Below are 23,902 nucleotides of genomic sequence, written 5' to 3' on the forward strand. Positions count from 1 at the left end.
TTGGCAAGGAGCTCAGCACTGCCCCTTGGATAACCAAACCTATGCCCAAATCCCATCTGTGTGGGTTTATCTCCTGGGACCCTTCCTAGCATATTAGAGTCCAATCAGGAGACATAAACCATTCAAAGGTTTAAAGTGGTAAAATTTAACACAGAGAATTATTCATTATAACAGGGGAACAGCATAATGAGAGATTGGCTAGCACAAAGTAAAGAGAACTCTGGAAAATAAAAGACTAGCACAGGCCAGACATCATGGCTCATGCCTGAAATTCCAGCAATTTCAGAAGCCAACGCAGGAGGATTGCTTGAGGCCAGGAGCTAGAGACCGGCCTGGACAGCACAGCAAGACCCTGTCTCTAACCAAAAAAAGAAAAAAATTAGCTGGGAGTGCTGGTGCACACTTGCAGTCCCAGCTACTTGGGAAGCTGACATGGGAGGGTAGTTTGAGCATGGGAGGTCAAGGCTGCAGTGAGTCATGATTATGCCATTACAGTCATCAAGCCTGGGTGACAGAGCAAGACCCTGTCTCAAAGAACAAAACAACAACAACCATTTACAGACAGAAAAGAAATAGAGCTAATAAGCTAAGGAAAGATGTTAAAATGTGACAAAGTAACATGAGGTCTTTTATCTATTTAAAATAATGAAAAAAACTTATTAAATTATAATACCCTGTGCTGGCAGAGGTGCAGTGAAATGGACACTTTCTTATACTATGAGGAGTGTTTAAGTAGTACATAGCCTTCCAGGGTAAAGCTTGGCAATTTTTTAAAATAATAGAGACAGGGTCTCACCTTACTGCCTCCTCCAACTCTTGGCCTCAAGCAATCGTCCTGTCTTAGCCTCCAAAGGGCTGGGATTATAGCTGGGAGGCACCCAAAACCTAGTCACTTTACATCAAGGGCAATGAGAATGTCCATTCACCATTACTCACAGTAATCTTACTTCTGGAAATACCTTGGGGAGACAATTCAATCTAAACAAAAGGTCAACTGTACAAACACAGTGAAAATCTAGGAGTAATTGAAGACAGAGTAGTTAAATGGAATAAACAGTTATAAGAAATTAAACTATGATATTTATAGGCACCTGGTAAAAGGTCACTTCATGTTAGCTGCTACTTTTTTGAGACAGGGTGTCACTCTGTCACCCAGACTGGAGTGCAGAGGCCTGATCATGACTCACTGCAGTCTCAGCTTCCCTGGGCTCAAGTGATCTTCCCACCTCAGCCTCCCAAGTAGCTGGGACTACAGGACACATCACCACACTAGGCTAATTCATGTATTTTTCTGTAGAGATGGTGACTCCCTTTCTTTCCGAGACCTGTCTCAAACTCTTGACCTCAAGCCATCCTCCTGCCTCAGCCTCCCAAAGTATTGTGATTAATGGTGTGAGCCACCACACTTGGCCAGTTGCTACTTTTATCAATATTATTATTCCACTCTATTAAAAATTATTTGTCATTACAAATTATTATTTTAAAGGCTATGGGACAATATGTGTCCCACAGCATAATTGTAAAACCGCATACAGTTGTCCCTTGGTATACAGAGAGAATTAGTTCCAGCCACCTATCTCTGCATATATCAAAATCCATGCATACTCACGTTTCGCAGTCATCCCTCTGGAACCCACATATAGAAAAAGTCCAAATATGAGTTGGGCATAGAGGCAAGCACCTATAGTCTCAGCAACTTGGGAGGCTGAGGTGGGAGGATTGCTTGAGCCTGGGAGGTTGAGACTGCAGACAGCTGTGATAGCACCACCACACTCCAGCCTGGACAACTGAGCAAGACCTTGTCTTGGGGGGGAAAAAAAAAACAAAACAGGTTAGAAATTCTAATGAGATCTGTTGGGTAAAATTCCATATAAGCGAAAAATAAATGAAGCAAATTGTGATAAATCAGTACAACGGACTTTTTGGAGTCTCTGACAATAAAGGTAAGAAAAATGCAAAACACAGAGATAGATGGTAAAAAAAAGAAATTAGGGAAGCATTGTGTATGTTTAATAAGAAGACGCTGGCCATGTTTGTGCAGCAGCAGTATGTCACAATACGATATACCTTGGAGAGCAGTTAACCGATGAGGAAGTTGATAAAAATGATCAGAGAAGCAAAATACTGATAGCGATAGTCAAGTAAACCATGAAGAATTTCCATAACTGATGTCAGCAAGGTGGGAATATTGTACAGTGTGTGTTGAAGTTCTTATACAACAGTTTATTTGCCTTTTGTTTTTTTGTAAGGAACATATATACTAAAAGTTCTCCTTGCTGTCAAAAGAATATGCGTAAGTTATTTGAACTTTTCTGTTTTTCTACTTTTCCTGCCATCATCCCACAGCCTTTAGACATTTTTTATTTTTTTAGAAAATTGAACAAGTGCTTGTTGTCGTGGCTCATACCTCTAGGATGGGAGGCAGGGGTAGAAGGGTCACCTGAGGCCAGGAGTTTGACAACAGCCTGGCCAATAAAGTGAGACCCCATGTCTACAAAACAATTTAAAAATTAGCCAGGTGTCATCATGTATACCTACAGTCCCAGCTACTCAGGAGGCTGAGGCAGGAGGATCCTTAGCCCAGGAGTTCAAAGCTGCAGCAAGCTGTGATGGCACCACTGTACTCCAGCCTGGGTGACAGGGTGAGACCCCATCTCCTAAAAGAAAAAAGAAAGAAAGAAAATAGATTAAGTAGCAAGTTGTATGTGGCTTACTTGGAATATTTCTAAACTAGAAGTTCTCAATCTTTCGGGGTCTAGCATCCTTTTACATTTTTTAACTTTATTGAAGATCTCTTAAGACTTTTTCTTTACATAAATATATTAAAATTAGAAAATGACTAAATTTTAAAAATATTATCACATATTAATAAAACCATTACATGTTGATATAATACAAGTTTTTAAAAATATTTATTATACATTACATATTAATAATAAAATCATTACATGTTAATACTTTTTTTTTTTTTGGAGATGGAGTCTCGCTCTTTCACCCAGGCTGGAGTGAAGTGGCGCGATCTCGGCTCACTGCAACCTCCGCCCCCAGGCTCAAGTGATTCTCCTGCCTCTGCCTCTCAAGTAGCTGGGCAGGTGCCCACCACCATGCCCGGCTAATTTTTGTGTTTTTTTTAGTAGAAACGGGGTTTCACCATGTTGGCCAGGCTGGTCTCGAACTCTTGACCTCAGGTGATCCATCCCCTTGGGTCTCTCAAAGTGCCGGGATTACAGGCATGAACGACTGCACCCACCCCAATTAATACATTTTTTAAAAACACTATGATTAGTCAGGCAACAACACTGGGCAGGGGTCTCCTCATTCCCAGAGACAAACCCCACTGCACAGCTCCGGGGTTGCAAGGGCTGCAGAGACAAAAGGCTCTAACTTGAGATTTCATTATTTTATTTGTATTTCTATTTGTACTGTGAGACAGGTCATGCTCTGTCACCTAGACTGGAGTGCAGTTGTGTACTTAGAGCTCACTGCAGCCACAATCTCCTGGGCTCAAGCCATCTTTCTGTCTCAGCTCCCCAGTAGCTGGTACTACAGTTGAGTGCCACCATATCTGGCTATTTTTTAAATTTTTTGTAGAGTGAGGGGTCTTGCTATATTGCCCAAGCTGGCCTCAAACTCCTGACCTCAAGAGATCTGCCCACCTCAGCCTCCTGAGTAGCTGGGACTACAAGTATACATCACCATGCCTACCTGCATTTATTTTATTAAATTTTGAAAAACATTTTTGTAGAGAGGAGGTCTTGCTATGTTGCCCACACTGGTCTTGAACTCCTGTCCTTAAAAGATACTCCCATCTCTGCTTCCCAAACAGCTGGGACTACAGGCATGAGCCACTGCACTGAAAATGAAGAGATTTCTTTAATCTAGCATCCCATACTTGGTAGGATTGAGAAAGGCAGTAGTGTTTTTTTAAAATTACTTAATAATTCAGTGAGAATCAAACTCAACCTTGACCCCTGCCTTCTCTCACACCCCACATCCAGTCTGTCAGGAAATCCTGTTGACTGTCTTCACCACGTACTGGACTCCCACCCAGCAACTCCCTGGCCTCCTCCCCTACTTCTCTCCTCTGACCATCTCTCACCACCACGACCCTGGTCAAGACCACTAACATCTCCTGCCTGGATGTTGCCACAGCTTGGCCCCCATGCTTCTACCCAAATCTTCCCACAGCCTTTCTAAAATGAGCAGCCAGAGAATGCTTTCAAATCAGGAGACAGATCATGTCGCCTCTCTGCTCAGAACCCTCCCAAAGTTCCCATCTCAGTCAGAATAAAAGCCAAAGCCCAAGCCCCAGCAATAACCTCCCAGGGCTTATGTGATATGTACTGATCCCTTCCCCTAATTCCTTCTATCTTTCTGCTCCACTGGCCTCCTTCCAGAGCCTCAGACACACCTCAGACACTTTATCCTGTTTTTCTGCCTATAATCCTCTTCCCTCGGCACCTTGGCCAAGTCCTTCCCCTCCTTCAAGTCTTTGCTCAATTTTCACTTAGGAGGACACCCCTGACCATTCTATTTAACATTGCCATCTGTCCCCATGCCCACCATGCTCATGTCTTCTTTCTCTTTTTTCTTTCTTTTTCTGTTTCTTCTCTCTTTCGGTCTCTCTTTCACAAGATCTCACTCTGTCACCAAGGCTGGAGTGCAGTGGTGCAATCACAGCTCACTGTAACCTCAAATTCACAGGCTCAAGCAGTCCTCCCACTTCAGCCTCCCTAGTAGCTGGGACTACAGGTATATGCTATCATCCCTGGCTCATTTTTTTTATTATTTATTTTATTTTACTTATTTTATTTTTTATATATATTTTATTTTATTATTATACTTTAAGTTTTAGGGTACATGTGCACAATGTGCACGTTAGTTACATATGTATACATGTGCCATGCTGGTGTGCTACACCCATTAACTCGTCATTTAGCATTAGGTATATCTCCTAATGCTATCCCTCCACCCTCCCCCCACCCCACAACAGTCCCCAGAGTGTGATGTTCCCCTTCCTGTGTTCATGTGTTCTCATTGTTCAATTCCCACCTATGAGTGAGAATATGCAGTGTTTGGTTTTTTGTCCTTGCAACAGTTTACTGAGAATGATGATTTACAATTTCATCCACGTCCCTACAAAGGACATGAACTCATCATTTTTTATGGCTGCATAGTATTCCATGGTGTATATGTGCCACATTTTCTTAATCCAGTCTATCATTGTTGGACATTTGGGTTGGTTCCAAGTCTTTGCTATTGTGAATAGTGCCGCAATAAACATACGTGTGCATGTGTCTTTATAGCAGCATGATTTATAGTCCTTTGGGTATATACCCAGTAATGGGACGGCTGGGTCAAATGGTATTTCTAGTTCTAGATCCCTGAGGAATCGCCACACTGACTTCCACAATGGTTGAACTAGTTTACAGTCCCACCAACAGTGTAAAAGTGTTCCTATTTCTCCACATCCTCTCCAGCACCTGTTGTTTCCTGACTTTTTAATGATTGCCATTCTAACTGGTATGAGATGGTATCTCATTGTGGTTTTGATTTGCATTTCTCTGATGGCCAGTGATGGTGAGCATTTTTTCATGTGTTTTTTTGGCTGCATAAATGTCTTCTTTTGAGAAGTGTCTGTTCATGTCCTTTGCCCACTTTTTGATGGGGTTGTCTTTTTCTTGTAAATTTGAGTTCATTGTAGATTCTGGATATTAGCCCTTTGTCAGATGAGTAGGTTACGAAAATTTTCTCCCATTTTCTAGGTTGCCTGTTCACTCTGATGGTAGTTTCTTTTGCTGTGCAGAAGCTCTTTAGTTTAATTAGATCCCATTTGTCAATTTTGGCTTTTGTTGCCATTGCTTTTGGTGTTTTAGACATGAAGTCCTTGCCCATGCCTATGTCCTGAATGGTAACCTGAAAGGTTTTCTTCTAGGGTTTTTATGGTTTTAGGTCTAATGTTTAAGTCTTTAATCCATCTTGAATTAATTTGTGTATAAGGTGTAAGGAAGGGATCCAGTTTCAGCTTTCTACATATGGCTAGCCAGTTTTCCCAGCACCATTTATTAAATAGGGAATCCTTTCGCCATTGCTTGTTTTTCTCAGGTTTGTCAAAGATCAGATAGTTGTAGATATGTGGTGTTATTTCTGAGGGCTCTGTTCTGTTCCACTGATCTATCTCTCTGTTTTGGTACCAGTACCATGCTGTTTTGGTTACTGTAGCCTTGTAGTATAGTTTGAAGTCAGGTAGTGTGATGCCTCCAGCTTTGTTCTTTTGGCTTAGGATTGACTTGGCGATGCGGGCTCTTTTTTGGTTCCATATGAACTTTAAAGTAGTTTTTTCCAATTCTGTGAAGAAAGTCACTGGTAGCTTGATGGGGATGGCATCGAATCTATGAATTACCTTGGGCAGTATGGCCATTTTCACGATATTGATTCTTTCTACCCGTGAACATGGAATGTTCTTCCATTTCTTTGTATCCTCTTTTATTTCCTTGAGCAGTGGTTTGTAGTTCTCCTTGAAAGGTCCTTCACATCCCTTGTAAGTTGGATTCCTAGGTATTTTATTCTCTTTGAAGCAATTGTGAAAGGGAGTTCACTCATGATTTGGCTCTGTTTCTCTGTTATTGGTGTATAAGAATGCTTGTGATTTTTGTACATTGATTTTGTTTCCTGAGACTTTGCTGAAGTTGCTTATCAGCTTAAGGAGATTTTGGGCTGAGACAATGGAGTTTTCTAGATATACAATCATGTCGTCTGTAAACAGGGACAATTTGACTTCCTCTTTTCCTACTTGAATACCCTTTATTTCCTTCTCCTGCCTAATTGCCCTGGCCAGAACTTCCAACACTATGTTGAATAGGAGTGGTGAGAGAGGGCATCCCTGTCTTGTGCCAGTTTTCAAAGGGAATGCTTCCAGTTTTTGCCCATTCAGTATGGTATTGGCTGTGGGTTTGTCATAGATAGCTCTTACTATTTTGAGATACGTCCCATCAATACCTAATTTATTGAGAGTTTTTAGCATAAAGCGTTGTTGAATTTTGTCAAAGGCCTTTTCTGCATCTATTGAGATAATCATGTGGTTTTTGTCTTTGGTTCTGTTTATATGCTGGATTACATTTATTGATTTGTGTATACTGAACCAGCCTTGCATCCCAGGGATGAAGCCCACTTGATCATGGTGGATAAGCTTTTTGATGTGTTGCTGGATTCAGTCTGCCAGTATTTTCTTGAGGATTTTTGCATCAATGTTCATCAAGGATATTGGTCTAAAATTCTCTTTTTTGGTTGTGTCTCTGCCCAGCTTTGGTATCAGGATGATGCTGGCCTCAGAAAATGAGTTAGGGAGGATTCCCTCTTTCTATTGATTGGAATAGTTTCAGAAGGAATGGTACCAGCTCCTCCTTGTACCTCTGGTAGAATTTGGCTGTGAATCCATCTGGTCCTGGACTTTTTGGTTGGTAAGCTATTGATTATTGCCACAATTTCAGATCCTGTTATTGGTCTATTCAGAGATTCAACTTCTTCCTGGTTTCGTCTTGGGAGGGTGTAAGTGTTGAGGAATTTATCCATTTCTTCTAGATTTTCTAGTTTATTTGCATAGAGGTGTTTGTAGTATTCTCTGATGGTAGTTTGTATTTCTGTGGGATTGGTGGTGATATCCCCTTTATTTGATTCTTCTCTCTTTTCTTCTTTATTAGTCTTGCTAGCAGTCTATCAATTTTGTTGATCCTTTCAAAAAACCACCTCCTGGATTCATTAATTTTTTGAAGGGTTTTTTGTGTCTCTATTTCCTTCAGTGCTGCTCTGATTTTAGTTATTTATTGCCTTCTGCTGGCTTTTGAATGTGTTTGCTCTTGCTTTTCTAGTTCTTTTAATTGTGATGTTAGGGTTTCAATTTTGGATCTTTCCTGCTTTCTCTTGTGGGCATTTAGTGCTATAAATTTCCCTCTGCACACTGCTTTGAATGTGTCCCAGAGATTCTGGTATGTTGTGCCTTTGTTCTCGTTGGTTTCAAAGAACATCTTTATTTCTGCCTTCATTTTGTTATGTACCCAGTAGTCATTCAGGAGCAGGTTGTTCAGTTTCCATGTAGTTGAGTGGTTTTGAGTGAGTTTCTTAATCCTGAGTTCTAGTTTGATTGCACTGTGGTCTGAGAGACAGTTTGTTATAATTTCTGTTCTTTTACATTTGCTGAGGAGAGCTTTACTTCCAACTATGTGGTCAATTTTGGAATAGATGTGGTGTGGTACTGAAAAAAATGTATATTCTGTTGATTTGGAGTGTAGAGTTCTGTAGATGTCTATTAGGTCCGCTTGGTGCAGAGCTGAGTTCAATTCCTGGGTATCCTTGTTAACTTTCTGTCTCGTTGATCTGTCTAATGTTGACAGTGGGGTGTTAAAATCTCCCATTATTGTTGTGTGGGAGTCTAAGTCTCTTTGTAGGTCTCTCAGGACTTGCTTTATGAATCTGGGTGCTCTTGTATCGGGTGCATATACATTTAGGATAGTTAGCTCTTCTCGTTGAATTGATCCCTTTACCATTATGTAATGGCCTTCTTTGTCTCTTTTGATCTTTGTTGGTTTAAAGTCTGTTTTATTAGAGACTAGGATTGCAACCCTGCCTTTTTTTTGTTTTCCATTTGCTTGGTAGATCTTCCTCCATCCTTTTATTTTGAGCCTATGTGTGTCTCTGCACGTGAAATGGGTTTCCTGAATACAGCTCACTGATGGGTCTTGACTATGCAATTTGCTAGTCTGTGTCTTTTAATTGGAGCATTTAGTCCATTTACATTTAAAGTTAATATTGTTATGTGTGAATTTGATCCTGTCATTATGATGTTAGCTGGTTATTTTGCTCGTTAGTTGATGCAGTTTCTTCCTAGCCTCGATGGTCTTTACAATTTGGCATGATTTTGCAGTGGCTGGTACTGGTTGTTCCTTTCCATGTTTAGTGCTTCCTTCAGGAGCTCTTTTAGGGCAGGCCTGGTGGTGACAAAATCTCTCAGCATTTGCTTGTCTGTAAAGGATTTTATTTCTCCTTCACTTATGAAGCTTAGTTTGGCTGGATATGAAATTCTGGGTTGAAAATTCTTTTCTTTAAAAATGTTGAATATTGGCCCCCACTCTCTTCTGGTTTGTAGAGTTTCTGCCGAGAGATCCACTGTTAGTCTGATGGGCTTCCCTTTGTGGGTAACCCGACCTTTCTCTCTAGCTGCCATTAACATTTTTTCCTTCATTTCAACTTTGGTGAATGTGACAATTATGTGTCTTGGAGTTGCTCTTCTCGAGGAGTATCTTTGTGGCGTTCTCTGTATTTCCTGAATCTGAATGTTGGCCTGCCTTGCTAGATTGGGGAAGTTCTCCTGGATAATATCCTGCAGAGTGTTTTCCAACTTGGTTCCATTCTCCCTGTCACTTTCAGGTACACCAATCAGACGTAGATTTGGTCTTTTCACATAGTCCCATATTTCTTGGAGGCTTTGTTCATTTATTTTTATTCTTTTTTCTCTAAACTTCCCTTCTCGCTTCATTTCATTCATTTCATCTTCCATCACTGATACCCTTTCTTCCAGTTGATCGCATCGGCTCCTAAGGCTTCTGCATTCTTCACGTAGTTCTCGAGCCTTGGCTTTCAGCTCCATCAGCTCCTTTAAGCACTTCTCTGTATTGGTTATTCTAGTTATACATTCTTCTAAACTTTTTTCAAAGTTTTTAACTTCTTTGCCTTTGGTTTGAATTTCCTCCTGTAGCTCAGAGTAGTTTGATCATCTGAAGCCTTCTTCTCTCAACTCGTCATTCTCCAACCAGCTTTGTTCCATTGCTGGTGAGGAACTGCGTTCCTTTGGAGGAGGAGACGTGCTCCGCTTTTTAGAGTTTCCAGTTTTTCTGCTCTGTTTTTTCCCCATCTTTGTGGTTTTATCTACTTTTGGTCTTTGATGATGGTGATGTACAGATGGGTTTTTGGTGTGGATGTCCTTTCTGTTTGTCAGTTTTCCTTCTAACAGACAGGACCCTCAGTTGCAGGTCTGTTGGAGGTTGCTAGAGGTCCACTCCAGACCCTGTTTGCCTGGGTATCAGCAGCGGTGGCTGCAGAACAGTGGATTTTTGTGAACCGCGAATGCTGCTGTCTGATCGTTCCTCTGGAAGTTTTGTCTCAGATGAGTACCCGGCCGTGTGAGGTGTCAGTCTGCCCCTACTGGGGGGTTCCTCCCAGTTAGGCTGCTCAGGGGTCAGGGGTCAGGGACCCACTTGAGGAGGCAGTCTGCCCGTTCTCAGATCTCCAGCTGCATGCTGGGAGAACCACTGCTCTCTTCAAAGCTGTCAGACAGGGACATTTAAGTCTGCAGAGGTTACTGCTGTCTTTTTGTTTGTCTGTGCCCTACCCCCAGAGGTGGAGCCTACAGAGGCAGGCAGGCCTCCTTGAGCTGTGGTGGGCTCCACCCACTTCCAGCTTCCCTGCTGCTTTGTTTACCTAAGCAAGCCTGGGCAATGGCGGGCGCCCCTCCCCCAGCATCGCTGCCACCTTGCAGTTTGATCTCAGACTGCTGTGCTAGCAGTCAGCGAGACTCTGTGGGCGTAGGACCCTCCAAGCCATGTGCGGGATATAATCTCCTGGTGCGCCGTTTTTTAAGCCCATCAGAAAAGCGCAGTATTAGGGTGGGAGTGACCTGATTTTCCAGGTGCCGTCCGTCACCCCTTTCTTTGACTAGGAAAGGGAACTCCCTGACCCCTTGTGCTTCCTGAGTGAGGCAATGCCTTGCCCTGCTTTGGCTCGTGCACGGTGCACTGCACCCACTGTCCTGCGCCCACTGTCTGGCATTCCCTAGTGAGATGAACCTGGTACCTCAGATGGAAATGCAGAAATCACCTGTCTTCTGCGTCGCTCATGCTGGGAGATGTAGACCGGAGCTGTTCGTATTCGGCCATCTTGGCTGCCAGACCTATTTTATTTTTTTTTAAATTTTGAGATGGAGTTTTACTCTTCTTGCCCAGGCTGGAGTGCAATGGTGCAATCCCAGCTTACTGCAACTTCCACCTCCTGGATTCAAGTGATTCTCCTGCCTCAGCCTTCCAAGTAGTGGGGATTACAGGTGCTTGCCACCATGCCTGGCTAATTTTTGTATTTCTAGTAGAGACAAGGTTTTGCAATGTTGGCCAGGCTGGTCTCGAACTCCTGACCTCAGGTGACTCACCCACCTCGGCCTCCCAAAGTGCTGAAATTTCAGGCATGAGCCACTGTGCCCAGCCAATTGTTTTATTTTTCATAGAGACAAGGTCTCACCATGTTGCCCAGGTTGGTCTTGAATTCCTGGCCTCATGTGATCCTCCTGTCTAAATTCCTGAAGTGCTGGGATTGCTGGCATTAGCCACCATGACTGGCTTCATGTTCTTCTTCCTGCTGCAACAGTTTGCAGTTTCTTACATTTAGTGGCTTAAAACACCACAAATCTACCATTTTACAGTTCTGGGGCCCAGAAGCCCAAAACAGGTCTATTAAGGCTAAAGTCAAGGTGTCAGCAGGGCTGCATTCCTTCTGGAGACTCTATAGTGTTCCTTTAGCTTTTCCCGCTTCTAGAAGCCACCGACATTCCTTGGATCATGGCCCTTGACTCCGTCTTCAAAGCTAGAAGTGAAGCATCTTCAAATCTCCCTCTCTGATCTCTGCTTCCATCACCACATCTCCTGCTCCAATTCTAACTGTCCTACCCTCTTTCTTTCATAAAGATCCTTGTGATTGCTGGGCATGGTGGCTCCCACCCATAATCCCAACACTGGGAGATCAAGGCAGGAGAAACACTTGAAGCCCAAAATTTGAAAGTAGCCTGAACAACATAGTGAGATCCCACCTCTAGAAAAAAATTAAAATAAATATTAGCCGGACATGGTGGTGTGCACCTGTAGTCCCAGCTACTTGAGAGGCTGAGGTGAGATGATCAGTTTAGCCCAGGAGTTTGAGATCGGCCTGGGTGACATAACTAAATCTCATCTCTACGAAAACGAGCTGGGTGTGGGTGACATGCATGTGTAGTCCCAGCTACTTGGGAGGCTGAGGAGGGAGAATGGCTTGATCTCAGGAGGTCAGAGCTATAGTGAGCTATGATCACATTACTGCATTCCAGTGTGGATGACACAGGGAGATTCTGTCTCAAAAAAAGAAAATAAATACATATTTAATCTCTGTCCCTGGTTCCTGGCACAGAGCTTCCAAAGCTCTTACAAAGACCTCAGTGATAGACATGATAGGAGCATCTTTTGTTTTCAATATTTAGTCTTGGTCCCAGGTTTCTAACACAAGAGCCTCTAAGAACTTTGGGGGCAATCACATGATTAGAGGCTTGGAACTTTCAGCCTCATGCACTGAACTCCAGGAGGAAGAGGGGCTGAAGATTGACTTAATCACCAACGGCCAAAGATTTTACCAATCATGCTTGCATAATAAAGCCTCCATAAACACCCTGAATGGGGTTTGCAGAGCTTCTGGGGTTGCTGAACACAGGAGATGTTGGCAAGGTGGCATGTTCAACAGAGGACATGGGAGCTCTGTGCCCCTCCTAACTTACCTTGCCCTGGGCATCTTTCTTTTCTTTTGAGACAGGGTCTGGCTCTTTTGTCCAGGCTGGAGTGCAGTGGCACAATCTCAGCTCACAGCAACCTAAGCCTCCCCAGTCCCCAGCTCAAGGCATCCTCTCGGCTCACCTTCCCTAGTAGCTGGAATAACAGATGCACAACACTGCACCCGGTTATTTATTTTTATTTTTCTAATTTTTTGTAGAGATGGGTTTTCACCATGTTGCCCAGGCTGATCTCAAACTCCTGAGTTTAAGTAATCCTCCCACCTCAGCCTCCCAAAGTGCTGGAATTACAGACATGAGCCACCGCATCCGGAAAGTACGTCTCTTTCATTGGCTGTTTCTGAGATGTATCCTTTACAATGAACCAGTAATAGGAAATGAACTGGCCAGATACGGTGGCTCACATCTGTAATCCCAGCACTTTAAGAGGCTGAGGTGGGAGGATCACTTGAGCCCAGGAATTTGTGGCCAGCCTGGGCAACACAACAAGACCCCATCTCTACAAAAAAAAATAAAAGAAATTAGCCAGATGTGGTGGTGCAAGCATGTAGTCTCAGCTACTACGGAGGCTGAGGTGGGAGGACCACTGGAGACCTGGCAGTTGATGCTGCAATGAGCTATGACTGCACCATTGCGCACCAGCCTGTGCAACAAAATGAGAACCTGTTTCTCAGAAAAAAGAAAATAAACTGTTTTTCTGAGTTCTGTAAACCATTCTAGCAAATCATTAAACCCAAGAAGAGGGTCATTGGAAACCCTGATTTGTAACAGGTTGGACAAAAGTACAGGTGACAACCTAGGACTTGCCACTGGCATCTGAAGTGAGGATAGTCTTGTGGGACTAAGCCCCTAACCTGTGGAGTCTGTGCTAACTCCACGTAGTGTCAGAATAAAATTGTGGGATACCCAGTTAATATCCAGAACACTGGAAAACTTGGTATACAAACTCCACACACATGTTCAGTCAAAAGTGCATGAGCAGAGACAAACACAGGCTTTTCTTTGACCTGTCTACCTGCTTAACTGCATAGGAGAGGCAATACGTGGTGCTCATGAACAAAGCAAACATTAAAGTCAGACCAGACCCAACATTTGACTCAGTCTTAATATCCAGGTGAGCTTGGGCAAATCATTCATTATCCCTAAGTCTTCATCACTTCATTCATAAAATGAGGATAACTGTGGCACCTACCTGTCATTTTGTGAGAATTAATGAGATATTATGCTTGGTGTTATTGTGATCATCATACCTATTCCAAACTATTTGACAAGGACAGGGATGGATGATAACATCAAAAGATTAGAAACTGTAGTGAGGTCTCTCAGGCAAAATTCCATACAAGCAAATTACTGTCGCTACAAAGTATTCCTGCCACACTTAATTCACCACTTCCTGAAAAAAAAAATGTGCCATCTTCATTGTTCAGGTCGTTACAGTGCTGGTTTCCCTGTCTGGGCAGCTCACTCCATCCCACCCCAGCCCATTCCCCTCCACCTCCCCCTTCCCACCCCATTCTCATACAACTCTTCCTCATCTTTCAGGACTTGGCTTCAAAAGTCACCTTAACTGGAACCTTCTCTCACCCTCCAGAAGAGCTTCCCATTGCACTTGATGCATGAACTATTATTTGATCATTTTTGAGTTATATTCCAAGTCTTTTTGTACCTGAATAACATGTTGCCCAGTCAGTCTCTCTTCCTGGACTCTGAAGTCTTTCATGGTAGATCCAGCTGGAAGTGACAAAAAGACATTCTTTTGAAATAGAACGGTGACATAGACAGAGACGTAAGTTCTTAAATGTTTTAAAGGGTATGTGAAACTTTAACTAAATTCATAGCCTTTTGGGGAACACTTAGGAGGGAAACTTACTGGGAATGTCATAAAGGATTAATTTGTATTTTATTTTTTGAGACAGAATCTCATTCTGTCACCTAGGTTGGAGTGCAGTGCTGCAATCAGGGCTCACTGCAGCCTTGACCACCTGGGCTCAGGTAATCTCACTTAATTTTTATTTGGTTTAAAAAACTCAGTCTTGGTTGAGCGTGGTGGCTTCTGCCTGTAATCTCAACACTTTGGGAGGCTGAGAGAGGTATATTACTCGAGGCCAGCAGTTTGATATCAGCCTGGAAAACATATTAAGGCCCTGTCTCTACCAAAAAATAACAGAGTGAATGTGTGGAAGACAATTTTTCCAAAGACCTGGGGTGAAGGAAATGATTTCAGGATGATTCAAGTGCATTACGTATATTGCGCACTTTATTTCTATTATTATTACATTGTAATATATAATGAAATAATTCTACAACTCACTAAAATGTAGAATCAGTGGGATCGCTGAGCTTGTTTTCCTGCAACTAGACTGTCCATCTGGGGTGATGGGAGACAGTCACCCCAGGCATTAGATCATCAGGCATTAGATTCTCATAAGGAGCATGAAACCTAGATCCCTCACATGCACATAACAGGGTTCGTGCTCCTAGGAGAATCTAATGCTGCTGCTGATATGACAGGACATCATGCTTAGGTGGTCATGCAAGTGATGGGAGGGCTAGAAATACAGATGAAGTTTTCCCTCACTCGCCTACTGTTCACCTCCGGCTCTGTGGCCCTGTGGTTGGAGACCCCTGCTAAAGTGCATCTGAAAGGATCCATCCCATGCCCTTCTTCAGAGTCATATTTACTGCCACAGTGTTCAAGTGTAGCACTCCTAAGCTCGCAGGGCCTATGGCTCAGCTGGCATTTCATCACAATCAACAGTAAGTGGTAGCTTGAGTCATTGTGAGGTCACTTCCTGGAAATGACCAGCATCCCATGTCCCATTGGAAAGCAGCTGAGCACTGCTCCTTGGATAACCAAACCTATGCCCAAATCCCATCTGTGTGCGTCTATCTCCTGGAATCCTTCCTATCATCAATTCTGTATTTGTAGGAGTCCAATCAGGAGACACAAACCACTCAAAAGTTTAAACTAGAATGAGCAAAGTGGCTCACACCTATAATCCCAGCATTTTGGGAGGCCAAGGCGGGTGGATCGCTTTGAGCTCAGGAGTTTGAGACCAGCCTGGGAAACATGGTGAAACCCCATCTCTACAAAAAACACAAAAACTAGCCAGGTGTGGTGGCATATATCTGTAATCCCACCTACTCAGGAGGCTGAGGCAGGAGAACTGCTTAAGCCTGGCAGGTGGAGGTTGCAGTGAGCAGAGATTGTGCCACTGCACTCCAGCCTGGGTGATAGCATGAGACCCGGTATTAAAAAAAAAAAAAAAAAAAAGAAGAAAAACAATATATGTAAATTTAATATAAGAATTATTAATTTTGGCCAGGTGCAGTGGCTCACGTCTGTAATCCCAGCAGTTTGGGAGGTAGAGGCAGGTGGATCACCTGAGGTCAGGAGTTTGAGACCAGCCTGACCAACATGGAGAAACCCCGTTTCTACTAAAAATATAAAATTAGCCAGGTGTGATGGCACATACCTGTAAATCCCAGCTACTTGGGAGGCTGAGGCAGGAAAATCGCTTGAACCTGGCAGGCGGATGTTGCGGTGAGCCAAGATCGTGCCATTGCACTTCAGCCTGTACAATAAGAGCTACACTCCATCTCAAAACAAAAAATATTAATTTTAACAGAGGATCGGCATAATGAGGGACACACTAGCACAAATTAAAGACAACTCTACAGAATACAGAACTAGCAGAGGCCAGGCATGGTGACTCAAGCCTGTAATCCCAGCAATTTGGGAAGCCTAGGCAGGAGGATCACTTGAGGCCAGGAGTTGGAGACCAGTCTGGCAAACATAATGAGACCCTGGGTCTACCAAGAAAAGAGAAAAATTAGCCAGGTGTGGTAGTGGTACACACCTGTAGTTCCAGCTACTTGGGAGTCTAGGGTGGGAGGGTCCCTTGAGCCTGGGAAGTCTAGGCTACAGTGAGCCAAGATCCTGCCACTGCACTCCAGCCTGGACGACAGAGACCCTGTCTTAGAAAGAAAATGAAAAGAAAAGAAAGTGCTAATCCCCCTATGGGAATCTCCTCTTCTCCGGCCCTCTCTGGAACCTCACTTGTCAGTTCTTCCTCCCACTTCCCTGTATCTTTAACCTATCCCCCTCTTTTAGCTCCTTCCCACCATCATCTAAATTACTCAAACTTCTTCTATTTTAAAAACCTCTCCCTAAACTCAGTGTGTCCCCTGCTTTAGGTCTCCTGCACACCCACTGAGCCATCTGCTCCCCGTGGTGCCTTCTCCACACAGCAGCCTGAGCCATGTCTCTAATGCATGAATCTCATCACATTACTCCCCCATTTACATCACTTCTCCTTGTCTCGGGGATTAAGTCCAAACTCCTTAAAAGCCCCTGCTCTGCCCTGCCTTGCAAAGCAGCCTCACTGCTTGCCCCTCTCCATTTTACCTGCTGTGGAGTCCAGCTGAGTCTCATCTGCCCCCTGAATCAGGAATTAGATTCTCATAAGGAGCTGAATCCTGAATCCACACTCTTTCCCCTCTGGGAGTCTCTGAAGTAGGTGATGCCCTCTGCTTAAAGAGTACACTTCCCCTTAAACCTCTACTCTCTTCCTGGCTAGCTTTGGCTCCTGTCACTTGTCCGCTTTGGCATCACCTCCTCCTGGAAGCCTTCCTTGACTCTCCAGATTCTCAGGAGCATGGGAGGTGAAATGCTTCTCCCATGAATGGATGGAGATTAGTGAGTATGTATTATTCATGCTTAATTCACCAGGGCTTAGCTGAGTACCTGGCACAAAAAAGTTACTGTGGTGGCCAAAGTAATGACCCCCCCGACCCCACCAATTGCTCATGTCCTATGTTACACTGCACAAATACATAGGAAGGGGGAATTAAGAGTGCAGATGAAATTAATGTTGCTAATCAGCTGACCTTAAAATAATATTATCCTGGAGTATCTAGAAGAGCCCATGTAATTACAAGTGTTCTTTAAATGTGGAAGAGGGAGGCAGAAAGTTAAGAACCAGAGATGGTGGGCACAATGGCTTATCCCTGTAATAACAATACTTTGGGAGGCCAAGCCAGGAAATTCCCTTGCGTGCAGAAGTTCAAGGCCAGCCCTGGCAACATAGTGAGAGGCCCCATCTCTACTAAAAAAAGAATAATAATAATCACTGTGTGCCATGGTGCTTACCTGTAGTCCCAGCTACTGGGAAGGTTGAAGTGGTAGGATCGCTTGAGCCTGGGAGTTTGAGGCTACAATGAGCCGTGATAGGACCACTGAACTCCAGCCTGAGTGACACAGCAAGGTCCTGTTTCTAAAGAAAAAAAAGGACATTGGAATCAGGGTCCCCTCCATCCTAAGGTGCCTACAATGCATCTCTCTCTGCAAACAAGTAAACATCATCCTCCAACTCCTCACAGAGTGGAGCAGCAGAAAAACTCCCTCACCTCATTTCTGTGCAGTTTGGGAGGCCTGGACAGCCCAATAACCAGCTCCTTGCTGATGAAGCAATTGGGAAATGGCTCGAGTTGAGCTAAGGAGAATTTGGATCCTTCTTTTGGTTCTCAATAGGCAGGATAGGGGTCAGGCATGGTGGCTCATACGTGTAATCCTTGCACTTTGGGAGGCCAAGGTGAGAAGATCGCTTGAGGCCAGGAGCTCAAGATCAGTCTGGGCAACATAGCGAGACCCAGGTGGCATGCACCTGTGGTCCCCACTACTTGGTACGATGAGGTGGGAGGACTGATCACTGGATCCCAGCAGTTTCAGACTGCAGTGAGCCATGATCACACCACTGCACTCCAGCCTGTGTGACAGAAACAGACAGTTTCTCAAAAAGTAAAAAAAAAAAAAAAAAAGAGAGAGACTATAAGGCAGGCACCACCACACCACCACATCTGGCTAATTTTTAAATATTCTGCAGAGATGAGGTCTTGCTAGGTTGCCAAGGCTGGTCTAAAACTCCTGGAATCAGGCTGGGCATGAGGGCTCATGCCTGTAATCCCAGCACTTTGGGAGGCCAAGGCAGGCAGATCACCTGAGGTCAGGAGTTAGAAACCAGCCTGACCAACATGGTGAAACTCCATCTGTACTAAAAGTACAAAAATTAGCTGGGCAGTAGTGGCATGTGCCTGTAATCTCAGCTACTTAGGAGGCTGAGGCAGAAGAATCACTTGAACCTGGGAGGTGGAGGCTGCAGTGAGCCGAGGTCGCACCACCGCACTCCACCCTGGGCGACAGTGAGACTCTGTCTCAAAAAAAGAAAAATACAAACAAACAAACAAACAAAACAAAAACAAAAACAAAACCCCGGCATCAAGAGATCTTCCTATCTCACCCTCCCAATGCCCTGGGATTATAATTTTTGTTTAGAATAATTGAAGATACTTGTTCTTACACTGCTTTAAGGTATAAAGAAAAAAAAAGATAATAACAAATGTTGGTGAAGGCCGGGCACAGTGGCTCAGCCTGTAATTCCAGAACTTTGGGAGGCTGAGGTGGGCAGATCACTTGAGGCCAGGAGTACGAGACCAGCCTAATCAACATAGTCAAACCCCATTACTACAAAAAAATATAAAAATTAGCCAGGCATGGTGGCATGCACCTATAATTCCCAGCTACTCAGGAGGCTGACATGAGGGAATCACTTGTGCCTGGGAGGTCAAGGCTATAGTGAACTGTGATGGCATTACTGTGCTGCAGCCTGAGAGACAGAGCAAGCCCCTGTCTAGAAAAAAAAAATGTCAGTGAAGATGTGGAGGAATTGGAACCCCACATACATTACTGGTGGGAACATAAAATCATGTAACCACTTTGCTTGGGTATTTCTTTTCTTGTCATTTTAACTGGATTTTTAAAAAAATCAAGACAGGGTCTCACTATCTTGCCCAGGCTTGTCTTGAACTCATGGGCTCAAGCCATCCTCACAACTGAGCCTCCTGAGTAGCTAGGATTACAGCTGTGAGCCATTGCACCCAATTGGTGTAGCCACTTTAGAAAACAGTCTGGCAGTGTCTCAAAATGCTAAATGTACAGTCGTCGTATAATGCAACAATTTCACTCCTAGGCATATATCCCAGAGAAATAAAAATATATGTCCACACAAAAACTTGTCCAGCAATCTTCATAGCACCATTATTCATAATGGCCAATACATGGAAAAAACCCAAATGTCCACCAACTGATGAACAGATAAACAAAATGCAGTGTGTCTCTACCACAGAATATTATTCAGCCATAGAAGTAATGAAATATTGATACACACTATGACATAAAGGAACTTTGAAAACATTGTGCTAAGAGGGAAAAAAAGCCACAAAAGACCACATATTATACAATTCTATTTGTCCAGGTTAGGCAAATCTATAGTGACAAAAAAATGGATCAATGGTTGCCTAAGGCTGGTGGCCAAGGCAGGTCGGGGGAGTAGGAGGTAGTGGCTAAGGGGTGCGGATTTCTCTATAGAGTAATGAAAGTTTCTAAAAGTGACTGTGGTGATCGATGTACAGCTCTGGGAATACTCTAAAACCTACTGAATTGCAGATTTCAATAAATAAAGTGAATGGTATGTGAATTATATTTTAATAAAGCTATTATTTTAAATAATAATAATAAGGGGCTGGGCACAGGTAGTCATGCCTGCCTGTAATCCCAGCTCTTTGGGAGGCTGAGGCAGGAGGATCACTTGAGGTCAGAAGTTTGAGCCCAGTCTGAGCAACCTAGCAAGATCCCGTCTCTATGATAAAAAAAATAAAAAAATTAGCTGGGCATGGTGGCACATGTCTGTAGTCCCAGCTACCCGGGAGACTGACATGGGAGGATTGCTTGAGCCCAGGAGTTTGAAGCTACAGTGACCCATGATCATGTCACTGTACTGCAGCCTGGGTAACAGAGCAAGACTCTGTCTCTAAAAAGGAAAGAAAAGAAATGCAAGTTTTTACCACTTTGTGAGTGTAGCCAAGTTGGTGGAGAAATAGACAAGAATAAAAGGGCACTGAATAATGAAGGTGAGTGGCTGGTTAGGCTCAGTTGCTAGCTTATCAGCTTCTAAAAAATTCATTAGTAAAGTTACAGCTCTGGGGATAGCCATGCAGTCAAAGAATGAATGCTAAATTCATTACAAATGCTCATGGTCTTTCTTTACATGCCTCCTAGTGAAAAATTCCTAAGTGTCTGAATAGCAAGTCTGCAATGATAGCAGCTGTTTACTAAAGACTACAAAAAAGAAATGGAGGCCGGGCATGGTGGCTCATGCCTGTAATCCCTACACTTTGGGAGGCCTAGGCAGGCAGTTCACCTGAGGTCAAGAGTTCGAGACCAGCCTGGCCAACATGGTGAAACCGTGTCTCTACTAAAAATACAAAAATTAGCTGGGTGTGGTAACACGTGGCTGTAATCCCAGCTACTTGGGAGCCTGAGGCAGGAGAACTGGTTGAGCCCAGCAGGGGGAGGTTGCGGTGAGCCAAAATCATGCCATTGCACTCCAGCCTGGGTGACAAAAGCAAGACTCTGTCAAAAAAAAAAAAAATGGCATCTTCTTCAAGAATGACATAGTTTCACGATAAAAAAGTTCTAATTTTGTGTTTTGATTTGATTTAGCCAATATGACACCAATCTTGGATAAAGTGCAAACAATGCAATTTCATTTTCTCATTAATCAAAACTGACTTGGTGGTCTAATATCAATTCTGATCTTTTAAAAAACTGATCAGATAAAAAAATTATGGAATGATGGAGCCAATAAGGTGTTACAATTTCTTTCAAGGAGAATTTCAAAACCCACACATATCTGAGATGATCAAGTATGAGGAAACGTATTTGATTACTATATTTAAAAATAAACTGATTATATAGCCAACAACAACTGGAAAGAGGTCTCCTCATCCACAGCCACAAAAACCCGATCACACGGCTATGCGGTTGTAAGGACTGCATAGCCTAGAAGGGACTGGTCTGACTTCAGATTTCATTTCATTTGTATTTGTATTTTGAGACAGGGTCCCAGTCTGTCACCCAGGCTGGAGTGCAGTGGTATAATCATAGCTCACTACAGCCTTCACCAACTGGGCTCCAGAGATGCTCCTGCCTCAGCTGCCCCAGTACCTGGGAATACAGGCAAGTAACACCATGTCACACTATTTTTTTCATTTTTGTAAAGAGAGAAGTCTTGCTATATTGCCCAAGCTGGCCTCAAACTCCTAGCTTCAAGAGATCTGCCTACCTCAGCCTCCTGAGTAACTGAGGCTATAGGTGCACACCACCATGCCCAGCTATATTTATTTTATTTTATTAAATTTCTTTTATTTTTGTAGAGAGGAGGTCTTGCTATGTTGCCCAGGCTGCTCTCAAACTCACGGCCTTAAAACGTACTCCCATCTCTGCCTCTCAAGCTGTTGGAACTATAGGTGTGAGACACTGCATCTGGCCTGACTTGAGACTTCTTTAATCTTGCATCCTTTACTTAGTAGGACTGAGAAAGGTAGTAGTGTTTTTTTTAATTAATAATTCAATTAGAATCAAACTCAAGCTTGACTCCCACCTTCTCTCGCAGTTCACATCCAGTCTGTCAGGAAATCCTATTGACTGACTTCAACATGTATCCAGGCTCTGACCATCTCTCACCACCACGACCCTGGTCAGGACCACTATCATCTCCCACCTGGATGTTGCCACAGCTTGGCCCCTGTGCTTCTACCCAAATCTTCCCACAGTCTTTCTCAACTCAGCAGCCAGGGGGTGCTTTTAAATCAGGAGACAGATCATGTTGCCTCTCTGCTCAGAACCACCCCACAGTTCCCATTTTAGTCAGAGTAAAAGCCAAAGCCCCAGCGATGGCCTCCCAGGGCTTACACGATCTGTACTGATCCCAGCCCAGCAACTCCCTGGCTCCTCCCCTACTTCTCTCCCTCTATCTGTTTGCTCCACTGGCCTCCTTCCAGAGCCTCAGACACACCAGGGAGTTTCCTCCCAATGCCTTTATCCTGTTGATTCAGCCTGCAGTGCTCTTCCCTCAGCACCTTGGCCAGCTCCATCACCTGCTTCAAACTTTTGCTCAATTTTCACTTATGAGGCCAACCCTGACCACTCTACTTAACATTGCCATCTGTCCCCATTTCCATCATGCTCATTTCTTTCTTTTTGAAACAGGGTCTTTCTCTATTGCCCAGGATAAAGTACAGTGGTGCAGTCACAGCTCACAGCAACCTCAACCTCTCAGGCTTAAACAATCCTCCTGCCTTGGCCTCCCTAGGAGCTGACACGCCTGGCTAATTTTTTTCAACTTTTTTTTTTTTTTTTTTTGAGACAGAGTCTCGCTGTCACCCAGGCTGGAGTACAGTGATGTGATCTTGGTTCACTGAAACTTCCACCTCCTGGGTTCAAATGATTCTCCTGCCTCAGCCTCCCGAGTAGCTGGGACTACATACAGGTGCCCGCTACCATGCCCAGCTAATTTTTGTTTTTTCAGTAGAGACGGAGTTTCACTACGTTGTTCAGGTTGGTCTTGAACCCCTGAACTCAAGTGATCCACCGCCTTGGCCTCCCAAAGTTATGGGATTACAGGCTGAGACACTGCATCTGGCCCCAACCACATTTTTTGAGGCTTGGAACTTTCAGCCTCACTCGCTGAACTCCAGGAGGCAAAAGGGTCTGGAGATTTAACGACCAATGGCCAATGATTTTATCATGCCTCCATGAAAACCCTAAACAATACGGTTTGGAGAGCTTCTGTTTTGCTGAACACAAGGCGGTGCTGGAAGGGTAGTGTGCCCAACAGAGGGCATGGAAGTGCCCCTTTTCCCACTTACCTTACCCTGTGCATCTCTTTCATTGGCTGTTCCTGAGATGCAGCCTTTACATTGAGCCAGTAATAGAAAATAAACTGGCCAGATGTGGTCGCTCATGCCAATAATCCCAGCACTTTCCCAGATCTTTTTACCTTGGCCTCCAAGGTGGCTGGGACAACAGGCATGCATTAGTGTACCATCATACCTGGCTATTTTTTTTATTTTTAGTAGAAACAAGGTCTCACCATGTTTCCCAGGCTTGTTTCAAAATTCTGGGCTCAAGCAATCCTTTTGCCTCAGCATCTCAAAGTGCTGGGGTTACAGGTGTGGGCCATGGCCCAGCCTGGAACCATGCTACTTGTACAGTCTGCAGAACTGTGAGCCAAATAAACTTTTTTTCTTTATAAACTACCTAGCCTCAGGTGTTTCCTTATAGCAATGGAAAATGGACTAATATAGGAATCGTATGTCAACACTTACCAGACTGTGATGAGCACAATGACAGGAGTATAGAGTGGGACTGAAACGCTCCCAAGGGGCTTCTCGTTGCATCATAGAGAGTGAGGTGAGACATCTCAGCTG

At 43.8% G+C, this 23,902-nt stretch overlaps 1 long non-coding RNA gene across 2 annotated transcripts; it reads right to left on the reverse strand.

Annotated features, from left to right (window-relative positions):
• Nucleotides 1-3,772: 3,772 nt before the first annotated feature.
• On the reverse strand, nt 3,773-16,093 carry LOC105375294 (uncharacterized). 2 transcript variants are annotated; one of them, XR_927294.1, is made up of 4 exons: nt 16,051-16,093; nt 14,241-14,305; nt 13,825-13,967; nt 3,773-3,853 (listed from the first exon to the last, which is right to left on the reverse strand). It is a non-coding gene; the product is annotated as an uncharacterized LOC105375294 (long non-coding RNA). The 2 variants fall into 2 exon arrangements; XR_927293.2 differs by lacking the exon at nt 3,773-3,853 and having other exon boundaries at nt 13,704-13,967.
• Nucleotides 16,094-23,902: the final 7,809 nt, after the last annotated feature.

Source organism: Homo sapiens, chromosome 7 (assembly GCF_000001405.40).
Source record: "Homo sapiens chromosome 7, GRCh38.p14 Primary Assembly".
NCBI lineage: Eukaryota > Metazoa > Chordata > Mammalia > Primates > Hominidae > Homo > Homo sapiens.